The 16,375-nt window shown below is 34.0% G+C and overlaps 1 protein-coding gene across 4 annotated transcripts in view; it reads right to left on the bottom strand.

Moving 5' to 3' along the window:
* Positions 1 to 16,375, bottom strand: part of GALNTL6 (polypeptide N-acetylgalactosaminyltransferase like 6) — a 1,228,156-nt gene that overhangs the window by 809,253 nt on the left and 402,528 nt on the right. For all 4 annotated transcript variants that reach the window (NM_001034845.3, XM_017008243.3, XM_017008244.3 and 1 more), the window contains one exon: positions 2,543 to 2,651. In NM_001034845.3, the coding sequence (NP_001030017.2) occupies positions 2,543 to 2,651 (109 nt within the window). The remainder of the gene's footprint in view (positions 1 to 2,542; positions 2,652 to 16,375) is intronic.

Genomic DNA, 16,375 nt, shown 5'->3' with positions numbered 1-16,375 from the left:
ACTGGCAAAACTTACCAGTATTTGATTCAGGATAAATACACTGGCAGTAAAAACTACAGAGAAAAATAAGAGAGTAAACACAAAATTAAAGTCTTAGAGGGGACACAATGGCACAAATGATCCTTTTCCTTGGCCTGTATATGAAGTACAAAGATGTTTATTTGATTTTGACTCTGTACCTGAGTGTGTGTGTACACACACGTATGTCTTAATACACTTTTATTTATGATATATTTCACTGTATAAAAATAATATTCTAGTATATAAATTTATCATATATCCTCCAGTGAATAAAAAAAATTCTACCATGTAAAAGCTTTTCAATTACACAAAGAATTTGTACTTAAAAACTTGTGATATTACCAATTTCTTTTGTGATCAATTTTCCCTTGGTCATAGCAAAGATGAAGATAGAAAAGACAAGTTTATTCAGGAGGTGGAAAGGGTGGTATGGAGCAGATATAAATGTGAAGCACTGGATTTTGTATTCAAAACTCATTTGTACAAGCAAAGGATAGGCATACCAATTCATGTAAAAGTAACTTACATGGATTAATAATTACAGTTATCATTAGTTGAGTTTCCAATATGTCCAAATAATTGGACAATTACTGTGGGTATATTTTCTTTAATCCTTAAATAAATTCTACAAAGTAGAATATCAGAAACAGAAATTGATTTGCCACAGTGCATGTATGGAAATGCTAGGATTTGAACCTAGGTGTGTCTTTCTCCTGTTGTGTCCTTGCTATTACTCCATATTTTCCAATTATTATTATTTGACAGTGGAGTATAATGGACCATGATAAGACCTGGTTCTTAATCCAGAGCTGCAAATTATTAGCTACTTGAACTTGGATAAAATTTAATAAATTTGTAGGAACTCAATTTTACTTAATTTGGGATAATTATACCTATCAGAGTTATTCTGAGGTTTAAATAAAATACATATGCAAAGCACTTAGTATAAAACATCCATTCAGTAAATTTGGGCTATTTTATTATTAACTTGTGGAAGATTCAGTTGGTAAGATTATGAAAACATTTCCAAAAAACTTCAGCATCCTGGGGTCATAAGGAGAAACAAGTGGTTGGATTAATATAGGGTTGATCAAGCAAATAGAGGAAAAAAATAAAAGTACTAGAAAAGTGAGGATGCTGGTAAGGAACTCATTTTCACGACCATTCATGGGGTCACTGCCAAGGTGGAAAGATGATAAAACCTAGAAGAAGTTGACGCTCTGAAAACAGGGAACATCTTTGGAATAAGCTGCTTTAAAAAGCTGGGGGTGGGGCGTGGGGCAGGCCTTTTTTGGAAGAAAAGGAATGCAAGAAAATAAAAAAGACTGTAATTCAGTCAGCCATACCTGATACAGAGCTACGAACATTTCACAGCCCAGAACAATTTTGTTACTAACTCTAGTTGAACAAGAGGACCTCACACCCTGGCTAAGTTATAATTCTGCTGCTGATTTTACCTTGAATGCAGTGTCTCAGGGCTGCTGAGATGTCTTTACCAAACTGTAGCTGCTCCATTTCTGTGACATCCTTATTGTGAAAATAACTTATTTGGCTGAATAAGAGAATATGGGCTTCCTATCATGAGTTACTCACTTTCACTGGATTTCTACTGATATACCCTTCTGAATTTCTGTTCACAACAGCCTAACAACCTAATTTTTCAGTCCTTCTAGAAAGACTTATTCTTTTTTGTCTTTTTTTTTTTTGAAACGGAGTCTCACTCTATCGCCCGGCTGGAGTGCAGTGGTGCGATCTCGGCTCACTGCAAGCTCCACCCCCCGGGCCATTCTCCTGCCTCAGCCTCCTGAGTAGCTGGGACTACAGGTGCCCGCCACCACACCCAGCTAATTTTTTGTATTTTTAGTAGAGATGGGGTTTCAACGCGTTAGCCAGGATGGTCTCGATCTCCTGACCTTGTGATCCGCCTGCCTCGGTCTCCCAAAGTGGAAAGACCTATTCTTTCTTGCTACTTTGTCCTTTAACTCTAGCACCAAGTCTAGAACTCTGCTACACACAGACCTACTTGATTCCGTTTAACTGCCTGATTGCTTTTCCAACTATTGCCAACCTTAGAACCCCAGCTGCTTGACCTGCTGGCTTGCTGTACGTCCCGCCAGTGTCTAGAAACATTGGTACAAATTAAATACTTTGCATTGCCAGTTAGATACACTTCAGCTCTAAGGAGTCAATCTTGCTCAAGATACATATCTACCAGGTCAAGTCTCATTGATAAATCCCAGGATACCCCTAGAAATTATGAACAAGCAGTTGGGAATATATAGTACTATATATTTCTTAAATTTTAATGACTTTTACCACAGCTAATATTAGAAAGACTATTCATTATTTGTTTTCTCTCTGAAATTTGAAGTCATTTAGGTTCTGTCCAGTATCACCTCCAATATCCCCATGAAACATACTTTACAGTGTGCAGAAGAAATGCTAATTAGAGATCCTTTACGTGACAAATGAGACACTGCTGCGAGTGAAATAGCACTTTGGCGTACACTGAGCTTCATACCTGAGCGCATAGCCTCTTTCTGAATGCTTTCATAGTCATGCCAGTCCTTTCTTCTCAAACCATCTGTCCATGAATAGAATTGCCCATCTCCCAGGCCCAGTGGAAATGTCTGTGGAAAAGGAAAGTATTCAAGCATAAAAAGGAGGTATTTCCTTTTGCATGGTAGGTAAACACAGCCGGGCACATAATAGGCAATCAAAGAATATCTGTTAAATAAGTGAATCTTCTGAGTATAATGAAAAGAAAGCTATCGCTGGTGACCAGATTTATACACATTTTAAATCTTTTTTTTAACCTTTAAAATGAGAGCACACCTCTCCTGCAACAACTATCATTCCCTATTTTATTTCATCCAGAGACGCTAATATTTAGCGTGTCACCTGTAAGCATAAATGCCTAGCTGTTTTTATTTGCCCAAAGTGTAAATATTGGTAATGCTACCAATTTTGGTGTTGCATTTAATTAATTTTGTTTTGATTGGTACAGTTTTATTTATTTTGATCAAACATATCTGAACGGCTTTGTAGTAACATTAGCAACCATTCATTGAATGCTCACTATGTGCCAGGTTCTACGTTAAATACTCTGTGTATAGAAGTTTGTTTAATCTTTATGATAGCCTCGAGTTGTAAATCCCCATTTTTCTGCCGAGTAAACTGAGGATCAAATAACTAAAATGGCTTGAGGTAAACCACAGTGGCAGAGCCAGGACTTGGACCAGTTCTGTTAAGACCAAAACTGTGCTCTTAAAAACTATTAAATACTGTCTCTCATCTAGATTTCTGGAAACATAGTGCATGTTTACACTTATAGTTGAAATTATCACCCATTCATCCACTGTAGTCACAAAATATAGTTTATGCTTTTCCAAAGTCCGATATGTTATAATGTCAACTTGAAAATTATTTCTGTGTACATTGCTGAAGCTACTTCTTTTTTATGATGTTTATTTCTGGTAATAAGAAACAATAATCATTTTGAATAAAGCTTATCTTCACAATCTTGTAGTCAAGATAATGTAAAATAAGTGTTTTCAAATTCACATGCTATTTTTTCTTTTGTTCTTTTTCAGAAATAAGTAATACATCCACTGAATGAAGAAAATAAAATTCTAGAAAGCAAAAAAAAGTCAATTTAGCCAAAAGATGAATAATTTCAGTGAGGTAATTTTATTCTAACAGCCTTTTCAAGACATAAAATGTCTTATTTCTTAGTTTTAGATAATACAGCCATTATGCTTTTGAAAAATTATCTACCTTTAGCCCATCTTCATAGCTTATAAAAGATATACTTGTTTTGAAAGGATAAAAATGGGGCATAATATTCTTTTCTTAAAAAAGGTAGTTGAAAATAAAAGAAAAGATTTTCCCAATCAGGTGACTATAATCTACACATTTCAAAGAATTTGTTGCTCATAATATTGGTGAGCTCAGAAAAAAAGAGGGACAAATATACAGATTATGGTGAGTTTATGTAAAATATCAGGAATACTGATAATTTTTAAAAGGAAGATGAAACAAAAGTTATGGAAAAGTAAATAGAAAATGACATGGTAAAAGTAAAAGAAAATGGAAAAGTACAGTTTTGGGGATATATAGCAAACATTTAAAAAAATCAAACATTTTTTTGAATTGATGATCAACTTATAATTAGAAATTTTTGAACTCAGCTATACAAAGAAAGTATTAAAGAATCAAATGAATATGAAATATGTAACCCATGTTTTGTCTCAGCCATGCTCTTACAGTGATAAGTACTGAACACTAATGAAAATCTCCTACACTGATTTAGATAACACTAATTTACAAACATAACTTTCAGATTAAAATAGATAATTTTAAAATAAATTTTGACATGAAACATGGAGGTATTCTTGTGTAAACTCCAGCGTTTAAGCTCTCTCTGAATACCAGGGACACTCTATTTTCCTTATTTTGATATATGTAATATAGCGAATTCTTAATAAGTAGTAATATAATGCAGATTGAACAAAAGTTAATTGAACACAAAAGTTAACATTTACTCTCTCCAGCAGCCAAATGAAAATGACAATAAAGCATCAGATGCATCAGGAAAGAAGATACTAGAACTCACATAAAGTTTTTGTAAATAGCTGGGAACTGCTGGGAAGGAAGTATTTTTTTATGGCACGGAATTTTCAAAATGTGTAAAAACTGGGGACACTTTATATATCTGACTGTCAGGTTAAATGTGAAAAGATAAAGATTGACCATTTTTAATAAGGGGCAGTTAGACTCTTCTGGGTTCTCTCTTCGACTCAAACAAGGGAGTGATTTCTGAGGGCCATCCACTGTACTCCCACCCATAGAAGACTGGAGCGTCAATGGTATGTTCTCAGGCCACCAGAAACAGTTAAATATAAGGTTGTCAAACTGCAGTGAAAATCAGGGTTCCATGTTAGCCTATGTTGTTAGCCTATGTATCAAACATTGTTAATGAAGTTATCTTCCCTTACTAGACCTCCAGAAAGCTGCCAGTCCACAGCTTACATCCTTACATAAGAGATGGAGGAATTCCTACCTGGAGAATTGAAATCAACTGGAAGAGATGCAGGTACTGGCTCCTAGGTGCACACCCAGTAACCATGTGGGAAATAGCCTAATTAGCAAGCCCTTCTCTACACAGAGAACTTCATATCACTATTTTCACGACTTCACTCATGAGTATGAATAGGCAGCAAAAGATTTCCAGGGATTTTGGGGAGCCTTTAACGTATAATTAAGAGACCAAAAAGAAACAAAAAGCATACCAAACTTGAAGAAAACAGAGGCAATGTAAGCTGCAGATAAAAGCTTCAAAAACTCTAAATTTAATTTTCTCAAAGAACTTTAAGAAAAGTTCCTTCGGAGATACAGATTTTTAAAAAGAAGCATTTAGAGAATCAGAGAGAGTTCCTGAAATGTAAAAATGTGATATCAGGGAGAGAAAAATTAAGACACAGTTTGGAAAATGAAGGTCAAAGGAATCCTACTGAGAAACAGAAAAACAAACAAAATTAGAGACAGAAGGAAAAAGATACAACATTGCAGAGAGGTGGCAAAATGGTAGCAAGTCCAGAGATCCTCCAGTCCAACTGTATAAGGGAAAGGAGAGAAGCTCCAGAAAGGATGTCTCTGTGGGAAAACACACACACACACAGAAACACACACACACAGACACACAGACACACACACACACACACACACAGAACTTCTTTCCTTTAAAAAAAATATTGAAATGAGAATTACAGTTCTTCCAAAGAGATTAGAATGCATTAATGATATATATTAAAAACTAAGCAAATGAAAAGTGGGCCAGTTGATAAGGCTATAAGAAACAAAAACAATGTATAAAAAAGAAATCCTAATCATAGCAGGTTGTTTGATTCAGATATGAATAATCTAACCGGAATATTGGCTTAACTAACATAAGTATACTGGAGGTTGAGGGAAAGACTGGAATAAGACAGTTAAATAGATATTTTCTATAATGGGAAAGCAGTAGATAAAACCAAAATAGGAAAAAATAGAGAACAGTGATATACACGTTATCTATAAATATGGAGTCATATGACAGAATGAAAATAAAAGATTGACACAGTTGCCCCTTGGTATCAGAAATTGCAAGTAGGGGAGGTGGGTAAGAGGATTGCTGGTTACCACCATAGTCTTCATAGTATGATTGGATTTAAAACATTATTTGCAAGTATTATTTTATGTAAAAAATAAATCCCAAATAAAAATTCTTAGGCATTCTCAGCCACTATTAGTGCTCTAGCAAGGTGTGTTAGCATCAAGAAAACACTTTATAATGGTAGTGGAATCAGGCTAAATCAGACCATCTGAAACTGCTTTAATAAAGGGTATCTGGGGGATTTGCTACACTAATAACTTTTTAATCTGTATCAATGCTACCCATAGACCAGCAGCATCAGCATTACCTGGGAACTAGTTATTTTTAATTATTTTTATTTTCATTTATTTACTTATTTATTTATTTATTTATTTTTGAAACTGGGTCTCACCCTGTTGCCCAAGCTGAAGTGCAGTGGGGCAATCTTGGCTCACTGCAACCTCTGCCTCCTGGGCTCAAGCAATTCTCACGCCTCAGCCATCCAAGTAAGCTGGGACTACAGGCGTGAGCCATCGCACCCGGCCATCATGGGAACTTGTTAGAAATAATTCCTTTTTCCCAGCTCAGGTCTAGTAAATCAGAAACTTAACAGAGAGACAGAAGTCTGTGTATTAACAAATTCACCAGGTGATTCTGAGGCTTATTATGGGTTGGGAACCTCTAATCCGTATGAATTGGAATGTGACACAATGGTCACCGTAAAAAAAAAAAAAAGTCAAATTCATTAACATATAATGTACCACAATCTACTGAAGAATCTTTTTCATATTGAGGGCTGATGACCAATATAAAGACTAGGTATGCTTGCATACCTAATCTAAATCAATCTCAGCGCATTTGTATATGATTACATTGGTTTTGAAAGCTTAACCATCCAGTAGATGGTGCATAAGTATTCTGACCTTTCCTTTAACATGAGCAATCTCCAGCGCCCAGACCCATTTGCGTCTCTTTTGGATTATATCATGCGTCCTCTGTTTGATTACAATAGTACAGATCCATTATCTATGACCTTGTAAAATTAATATAAACAGTATTGTACCTTCTTGAGGCATATATTTCAGACCCATCATTAGGTTGGCCATTTACTTGTAAGCACTATTCCGGTTTTTCACCTTGAGGACTTTTTATTCACTGTGATATCACTACAAATAATTAACTTGAAAAAATATCAGGGACAGACGAGACAGAATCCATTAAGTAGAAACCACATGTAGTAGTGAGGGCTGGGATCCCAGAGCCCATTGAAACTAACATCCTTTCAGATGGGTCATAAGAAACTATTTCCAAGGATAAAACATTACTCAAGGGCAATGTATTTACCAGAGGTAAAAAATTAAAACACTTTTGGAGTCAGGGATGTGACACAAGCACCTTTTGGGGACAGAAATGTGATACACAGTCTTCACAGGGACATGGAAACCAGAGTGTACTACTCTAAGGAGTGATGGGCTCTGGTGATGCCTGCTACTGTTACAAACTTTTAGCAATCTTAAAGCACCTCCCAAGGGCTGTTGGTCTGGAAATCCCTGGTGAATCAAAAAACTTTGTTTCTTTATCTCTAAGTTAGAGCAAACTTATTTATCATAACTACAAATGCAGATGACAATAAAAATACACATTTGTGAAACTGTGAAGAAAAGATTATCTGTATTCTAAAACCTATCTTAGTTTTCATAAATCAATCAGTGAACTTTTATTGTCACAATCAACCATATACCTATGATTCTATTTGTTCCTTGGAAGAAAATATGATGTAGTAGAAAAACTCTGGATTCAAAGGCAGACGATATAAATTAGGGTTTCTAACTATAGGCAAAAATCTGCATGTCCTCTAGGTCTTCTAGGTCTCTCAGCTCACATATGAAATTAGGGTAATAAGAACAATACCTACCTTACCCACTTTACAAGGCTTTTTGAGTAGTAAATCTTATATATGATAAAGTATGTGAAAGCCCTTGGTTTATCAAAACTTGATATATAAATGCCAATTGTTTTCATCATCCCTGCTATTTTTATAGATAGTTGAGTTATTTCCATTGCCCTTGAAAAATCTTAACATAGTCACTGAGAAAAACCTTAAATCATTAAACAAATAATAAATTATGTGGTTGAAACTCTGTTACAGGAGATGTTAACAAAATATTGTGATGGGTATGATTCTTGTATTAGGCATGATTAACTTTTTATATGTTGAAGACACCTAGGAAATGTTTTAAGCAAATGGAACACTATCAAAAAACTAACACAATGGGAGGACTGTATGGGAAAAAGGAGAAAACTTACTTGTATTCTTATGTAATTTTATCCACATGAATACTAAGAACCAGGTGATAAACTAGTGTTTAGAAAGGTTTACATCATATCATTAATAAGTTCTTCAAGATCACGTAACTAATTAAGTGGCAAGCTAGAATTTGATCCAAGTATGTCTGTCTTTAAATCTTATGAATTAATAAAACCAAACAAATGTGGAGACTTTTTCTGATTCTCCCATTATTCATTTATTCAAACTTTATTAGATAAATTCCCTTAGAAAAATGTTAAGAAATGAACCAAGAAAGATAAGGTGAAGCCACACACAAAAAAATTAATACACAGGTCTCTGAACTCTATGCACTGAGCAAAAGGAAGTCAAGAAAGACTCTCTAACTGAAGAGTAATAGCATAAAATGTTATGTGGAAGTTAAGGTTTTTCTGTTATTCTTCTAATATCTCTTTCCTTCCTCAGTTTGAACTCAATTACAGAACATGCAATGGGTCTCAAATAATCTACACAGAAGTTTCTGCATTTTCATATATGTACAAACACAGATAAATTAGTATCAGAACATAAATTTTTTTGGTGGAAAGAATTATCTTGTTATTTACATTCTGAATAAATTCTCAAATGTGTCATTGTTAACAATTTTAAGATACTGACAAAATAAAATAGACCTTGAACTGGTATCCGTTGCTAAAACTTCTAGTCAGTCCATACTCTTGACTTCGTAAACATATTATCTGAAACAGGATCAGGATCTCAGATGTGTGAAGCAGGCAGAAAGATGTACTAAGCAGTGTAGTTCTTGTATTTAGATCTTAAAATTTTTCAATAGAATCTGGAAATGGGTGTTGTTATGTAAAATCTTGACTTAAAAATTTTAAACTAATTAAAATATTTGCAAAACATATTGTGCTGGTTTATGTCTTTGGGACATATCAAACCTTCAGTTACTAGTCCAAAAACTCGGGCCAAGCTTATGTCAGTCTTAATCATGACTCCCATTCACTCTGCCTCAGAAATTGATGGCATTGTCTCTTATTGGTATAAACTTGATGAAGCTTACCAAGACCTGGAACTTGCAAATTTATCCTTTGTATTTATATCAGTATCTGAATAGCCTGAGAGCACAAAATGATTTTTCATGTACCATTTTAATGATACTTGCATAGTAATTCCCCAAGGTGGGTGTGTAGATCATTATAGCTAAAGACAAACATTGACAACACAGGCTCGTAGAGAGAGTTGCAAAAGTCAAAAAGTCAGAGACAGAGTCAGTTCTGGCAAATGGTAATTGATAATGCTTCGATTTTATTTTGAGGATAAAAAAAACTGAATGCCTTAATCCTCAGCATCCCAGATGAGATCTTTTATCTTGATGACACATCTTTTAGGCTAACCACACAAATTACAGGGTGAAATTTTATCATATAGTAAAGTTCACTTTTATTATACATATTTCCTTATGGGATTTATTTGCAAGAAAAGGTTGCTTTCACACCCACACTAACACTTGTTTTAAATAACTATATTAATGTGAATAAAGAACACAATTTGAGAGTTCTGACATCTCTTGCTTCCTGCTTCCATCACCTTGAAACTACTTTTTAATGAGATTTTCATTCTTTGGTCAGTGGGAAGATTAAACATCACCTCTTTGCATAGGCAGAGGTCAGATTACCCTCATTTTATGATTTTTTTGGTGTGCTTCTGAGAAATTTCTGAAGATGCTGCCCTGTTTAGATAGGACTACTGTCTGGGTAGCTGTTAAGGAAAGAAAAAACATTTTGTGTTGATCCCCTTTTCTCCTATATTATTGCTTCTTAAGTTTCAATAACATAGCCAGAATTAATTGTTAGTAAACAGAAGCTTCTGTTAGTAAGAAACCAGAGAGATGAGTAGTAAACTATTCTCATGAGAAAAAAGAATAACATTATTAAAAGTAATTTTGTTAAAGGAAATGAACCGAAAGTGCCAGGTAAAATCCTCCCTGATATTAAGCAGGGTTAAGAAATCAGCAGTGGTTATAATCCAGCTGACATACAAAATTTCCATCTAAGCATATGATGTAGGATAGTTGTGCTACTGACCCTCAAAATTACTATAATTTTTACTTGTTTCCATCACAACAGAAACCTGTTAGCTCAGCAGGAAAGTCCTCTGTATCCCTGCTTGCTATGCAGCTGCATACCTTGTAGAAATAGTGAAAAGATCAGCATCCTACAAAAATGACAAATTTTCTGAGAACTTTTTTTTCTCAAAGTATTCTCTTTGTGATTCCTAAGGGTGAAGAAACACACACACACACACAAACTCCACAAATTAGTGTGAATGTGGATAGCATTTCTGTAGAAACATAAAAGCAAATAAAGATTGTTTCAAAAAAGGCACATATTATATTAACCTTCCAGAATCATCCATCCCCTTGTTGATGGTTATTCAAACACTCATGGTTTTCTGGGGTCATTGAGCCTGGGTTTTATAACCTGCTGAATTTTTCTTCAGAAGGATATTCTAGAATTCCATCCTATCAATTCGTCAAGGAAAACACACAGCATTCTCGGTTGTTCTCCAGAATCAATATTATCTTAAACTGTGATGCTATTTTCTTATTAATCTGAGTTCATTGTGTTACAACTAAAGGGAAACAAATAACACAGAAAGATGAAATGGGGATTAGGTAGAAAAAGCTATGATCTTTTTTCACAACAAGGGTGATAGTGACAAAGAAACCAAGAAAGAGTGTTAGTTTTCTCCAACTTGTATGTTACCCAGGTGCTTTCATATATCTACTACCAAAATAGACAGCTTGATAGTACAAGAACCAGAATCACAACTGAGTATATAAAATTAGCATGCAATTAAGAAATGATTGGATAATAGCATGGCTAAGTTATCTGTTTCATATTCCTAAAATATGCCTATATAAATATGTTTAATTTGACCATAGTTATCATCATGTTCACAATAACCAAATCATTATTGCATCAGCCGCATGTGCACAAATGTAGATAAGACCTCAACATTGTCTTCAATTAGGTCTTTACTACTTTCAGTTTTGTTGGAATTTTAAATGGCTTCTGAAGTGATGATTTTAAATTTTTATCTGAAGAAAATTGTCCTAAATGGTGAAGACAATTGAAATATCCAAACTTTGTATTTGAAAGACTCAAAACAAACATGTTTTTTGCCTGTCTGTCCTAATAGCTGAGTTGGTGTTTTAAGCTCATTCAATCTTTGGAAAAAATTAATGAAAATATAAAGCCATTGTAAATCATAAAAAATTGAACAAACTTCTTTTTCTTCAGGAGTATCACAACCTAACATGTAAAATGGATGATTGGTAAGTCAGATATGTTGTCTAGAGACATAGGGAAGGGGATATTTATACCATATTCCCCTTCTAGCACCAGTATTTTAGTGCTGATGTAATTTTATTCAATCCACCATTCGGCTGCCCACTCAACATGTATTTATTGAATGCCTGCTCCTGCACTAGAGATACAGTGGTAAGCCAAAAGAAATAGCAGTTCTGAGGGACATTATATTCAAGTAGAAGGAAGCCCTCATTCATATAACCAATATTAATTGAGTACCTAATATGTGTCTGGCACTGTTTAGGTACTTGGGATTTATCAGTGACTAAAGCAGAGTGTCATACCCTTGAAGAGCTTACATTCTACAGGTGTACTATTAAAAAAAACACAAACAAGGAAACTATACGATGTTACCTTCAATGAGATCTTCTTATGTTATTTAATCATTTTGAAGGGACAGAGGAGGACAGAGATGTGCTGAGTTTGAGAGACAATAAATTTAAGATTTCTAAGACTTAGAAGGAGAAATTCCTAACAGAGAATTGGATTTACTGGCTGAATGTAAAATATAATATTTTCCACTAGAAAATTTCATTCTAAAAAAGTATTTCACAAGTTATTTTACTTAAATACAGATATTGGTTCTTACGTGGGTAAGCAAGCATCTTTTTAGGCAGAAGTGCCAATACTTTTAAATATCAAAACCAGGTTGCTTTCCATTATATTGGCTATCTAGCATAAATATAATTTGTCTACAGTGTTCGGAGGAAGAAATAGTCTCCATTTCCTTGAATACCAAATGATAAAATGTCAAGACTTGACAACTAGAAGAAAAAGCACTTAAAATCTAAATCTTAAAAGGGTCTTGGACCGTGACTTTCACAGCTAATTATTTCAAATACCAGCAGAGATGTTTTTCAAGCTTTAATTTAAAGTATCTTGTTCAACAAATTGTAGACATGAGAGACAATAGATCATTGTGTTTTCCTGGTATCTACTCTGTACTCTGAAAATAATTTACTTACGGGAAAACAACTTCGATTATTATAATTATAGCTTGCCATCAAAAAGTTTTTAAATTTAAAACACTGTTTTATAGAACATAAATATAGGAATTGAATGGCATATTAATAAATGTTGAGAAAGATTTATGGGCATTTGGTCATAAAACAAAACAAAAGTCTAGATAGCATTTATCATTTCTGTGTTAACAAGTAAGATAATTCATATTAATAATGAGAAACATAGATGCCAAGGAATAATTTTTTTAAAAAATTACTTAAAATAACGGTTATTCTTTTGCCTATATTTTTTAAGAACAGAAGGATTATATATATATATATATATATATACACTTGCTTAATCTGACATATTATATTTTCTGATTGCAAAGTGATCAATTAATCTATCCATTTTAATTTGGCTTTTTTTTAACATATATTTATCTGCCTTCCCAAATGTCTGAAATGGACAGAAATTTCATATTCTTTCAGGAGTTAAAATAATTAATGGTTAAGAACAAAAATTCTGGTCTCAATTTGTTAATCTATAGAATGGAAATAAAAAACTTTATCTCATGTAGTTGTAAGATTAATTTGATTTGCTTGTCAAATATCCATTATTATTTACTTATTTATTATTACTTAACAAACTGTCAATGTACATGAATATACATCACAAATGTATCACTTCATTAAATATATCACTTCATTAAAAATCCTGAACACTCTTGTCTTTCCAATTGTTATTAACATTCAGATCTTTAAAATTATTTAATATAACTACTCTAGAAATAAAGTATAAAAAATGACTATGAGGAATTTCTGGTTTCAGCTCCATCCTATATAAAGTTTGAAGATTGTCTTCTTGTCCTTACAAGAATAAAGCTAAACAAACTGAAAATCTGCAAGTTTTCTTGGACCCATTAGAAAACTGAGATTTCACAGCAAACCACTGCTCAGAATTTTAGAAAGATATGAAAATCTAGAGAGTCCCAACCAAGGTCTCTTTTCTTACAGCAGAAACTGCAGGACCCATAAACAGGTAAAAACACTTAAATGATAACGTTAATGAATTGATGGAAGCTGAGAGTCAGAAACTCCTGGAGCAATAGTCTTAGGGAGCCCCCATTGTACACTAAGCATACCAGGTCATCATGAAGAAAATCCAAGAAAAACCCTCTCATGGTTCTGGCATAGGGAAAGAAAAAGTAACCTTTGTAAAATATGCCTAGAGGGTTCTCCATAACAAAGGCCTAAGGCCTACTGTCAAGAGAAAAAGACTTTACTAGAGTCTTATCCAAGTTGGGGAAAGGTCATTTTCCTAAGGACTTTAGTCTACTCTAGCTTATCTGTCTCACCTAAGGGAGCTGGGATGGGCAAAGAGAGGAAACTTATGAAGGGGAACTTATGAAGGCTACATTCCAGGAACAAAGCCCACTAAAAGACTAAGATTTAATCTTAAAATTATATAATGCTCCCCTCCCCCATCCCTTCCCATCATAGTAATAGGGTTACAGTATAAAAACGGTGGGTTAGAGCTGAAAGAGCTGAAAGACATAGCCTCTATATAAAGAGGAGTCCTTAGAGAAGCCCAAATACAAAGGGGACATGAAAACCAAGACATTAGAACTCAGTTTTTGACACCTATACCTAAACCTACAGTAAACATTCAATACAGGCCAATTTCCCCAGAAAAACAAAACCTTATACAAAGATCTAATTATTAGTTAGTCAGTTCCTGTTACCTGATATATCCTAACAGTCTGACGAGACAAATCAAGCATAACAACTATATTCATATAGGACAAAATTTTGCAATGAGTGGGCAGTGAATTTAAAGTAACTATAACATGTTAAGGGCTCGAATGAAGGAAGTAGACATAGCTAGAAAAGATGGATCATGTAAATATAGCAGTGGGAAGTTTAAGAATGAATTAAAAGGAAATGCTAGAAATTCTAAAATATTTATAACAGAAATGAAGAATTATTTTGATGGCTTTATCAGTAGAACAAACGTGGCTGAGAAAAGAATCACTGGGCTTGAAGATTTGTCAATAGGAACTTCCTTAAGCTAAAATTAAAATAGAAGAAATTGAAGACTAGCTCTGATATTTTTTTATCTTGCCCAAATTCCTATCTAAGGGGTTTGGACAGTCATGTTCTACAAACCATAAATTCTCATCAGATGGGTTTATTGAACCCTATATATTGCGACTTACTTTCCAATGTGACTCCTGCGTAACATTATGTAACAAAGAAGTCAAAATATTTTACCCTACATTTTGAAACGGCCTTGCAAAGCTGTCCTTTGTGGGGGAAAATTTGCATCTGTAGAGAGTCTCTATTAACATTGCTAGATCTTTTTCTTCCAGGCCCTCCCAATCCTGAAGAGATTAACTAAGAGTCCAACACCTTTTAAAGGACTAATTAGGAAACATTTGTCATCTGTTGTGTCTAAGGGCAGCCACAATAAGATTTCAAAAGAACCTTGGCCTCCTGGTCTCAGCAATCTTTTATCTTAACCTGAACATTTCCTTTCTATGGACCCCAGATCTTTAGACAAACTCAACCAATTATCAACCAGAACAAGTTTAAATTTACCTATAGCCTGGAAGCCCCCCTCCCCCACTTCCCATTCCCTTCTTAGAGTTGTCTTGGCTTTCTGGACCAAACCAATGTATTTCTTAAATGTCCTTGATTGATGTCCCATGCCTCCTTAAACTGTATAAAACCAAGCTGCGCCCCGACCACCTTGGACACATGTTCTCGGGACCTCCTGAGGGCTGTGTCACAGGCCATGGTCACTCATATTTGGCTCAAAATAAATCTCTTCAAATATTTTACAGTGTTTGACTCTTTTTGTTGATAAAACAATGGAGAAAAAAAGAACATCCAAAACTGAGAGATAAAATATTTGAATAATCACTATGAATTTTTCAAAATTAATGAGTGACACAAAACCAAAGATCCAAGAAAAACAGAGAATACCAATCAGAACAAATACAAAAAAAAATTACACTTAAGCATATCATATTCAAATTGCAGAAAACAGAAGACAAGGAGAAAATCTCGAAAGAAGTCAGAGTGGGTGGGAAGGGCTTTAATAATGCTTTACCAGTAGATAAACAGGAGTAATACTTCTAAAGGACATATTTTTAGAAACTATGCAAGTAAAAAGAGTTTGGAATGAAATATTGAACATATTGAAAGAAAAAAAAAACAAAAACACTGTTAATAGAATTCTATACTCAGTGAAATTATTTTTCAGAAGTGAAGAAGTTGTAAAGATTTTCACAAACAAAAACTAAGAGAATTTATCTCCAGGAGAGCTTCCCAACAATAAATGTTAAAAGAAAATCTTCAGGGACAAGGAAAATGATATAGTATATTTCAAAAACTCAGATTTATGTAAATAAAGAGCATGAATAAATGAAGATAATATGGAATATTTCATTTTTCTTATTCTCAATTAACCTAAGAAATAATGGTTTGTTTAAAGTAATATTAGCAACAACATATTGGGTGTATATAACATATGAACAGATAAAATGAATGGCAGCAATGTTCCAAGGGACTGGAGGAAAGAACTGGTACATAGAAAGCAAGGTACTGTTATTTA

This window comes from Homo sapiens, chromosome 4 (assembly GCF_000001405.40).
Source record: "Homo sapiens chromosome 4, GRCh38.p14 Primary Assembly".
Lineage (NCBI taxonomy): Eukaryota > Metazoa > Chordata > Mammalia > Primates > Hominidae > Homo > Homo sapiens.
Note: the sequence above shows the minus strand (reverse complement) of the source record. Positions and strands in the feature narration are given on the sequence as shown.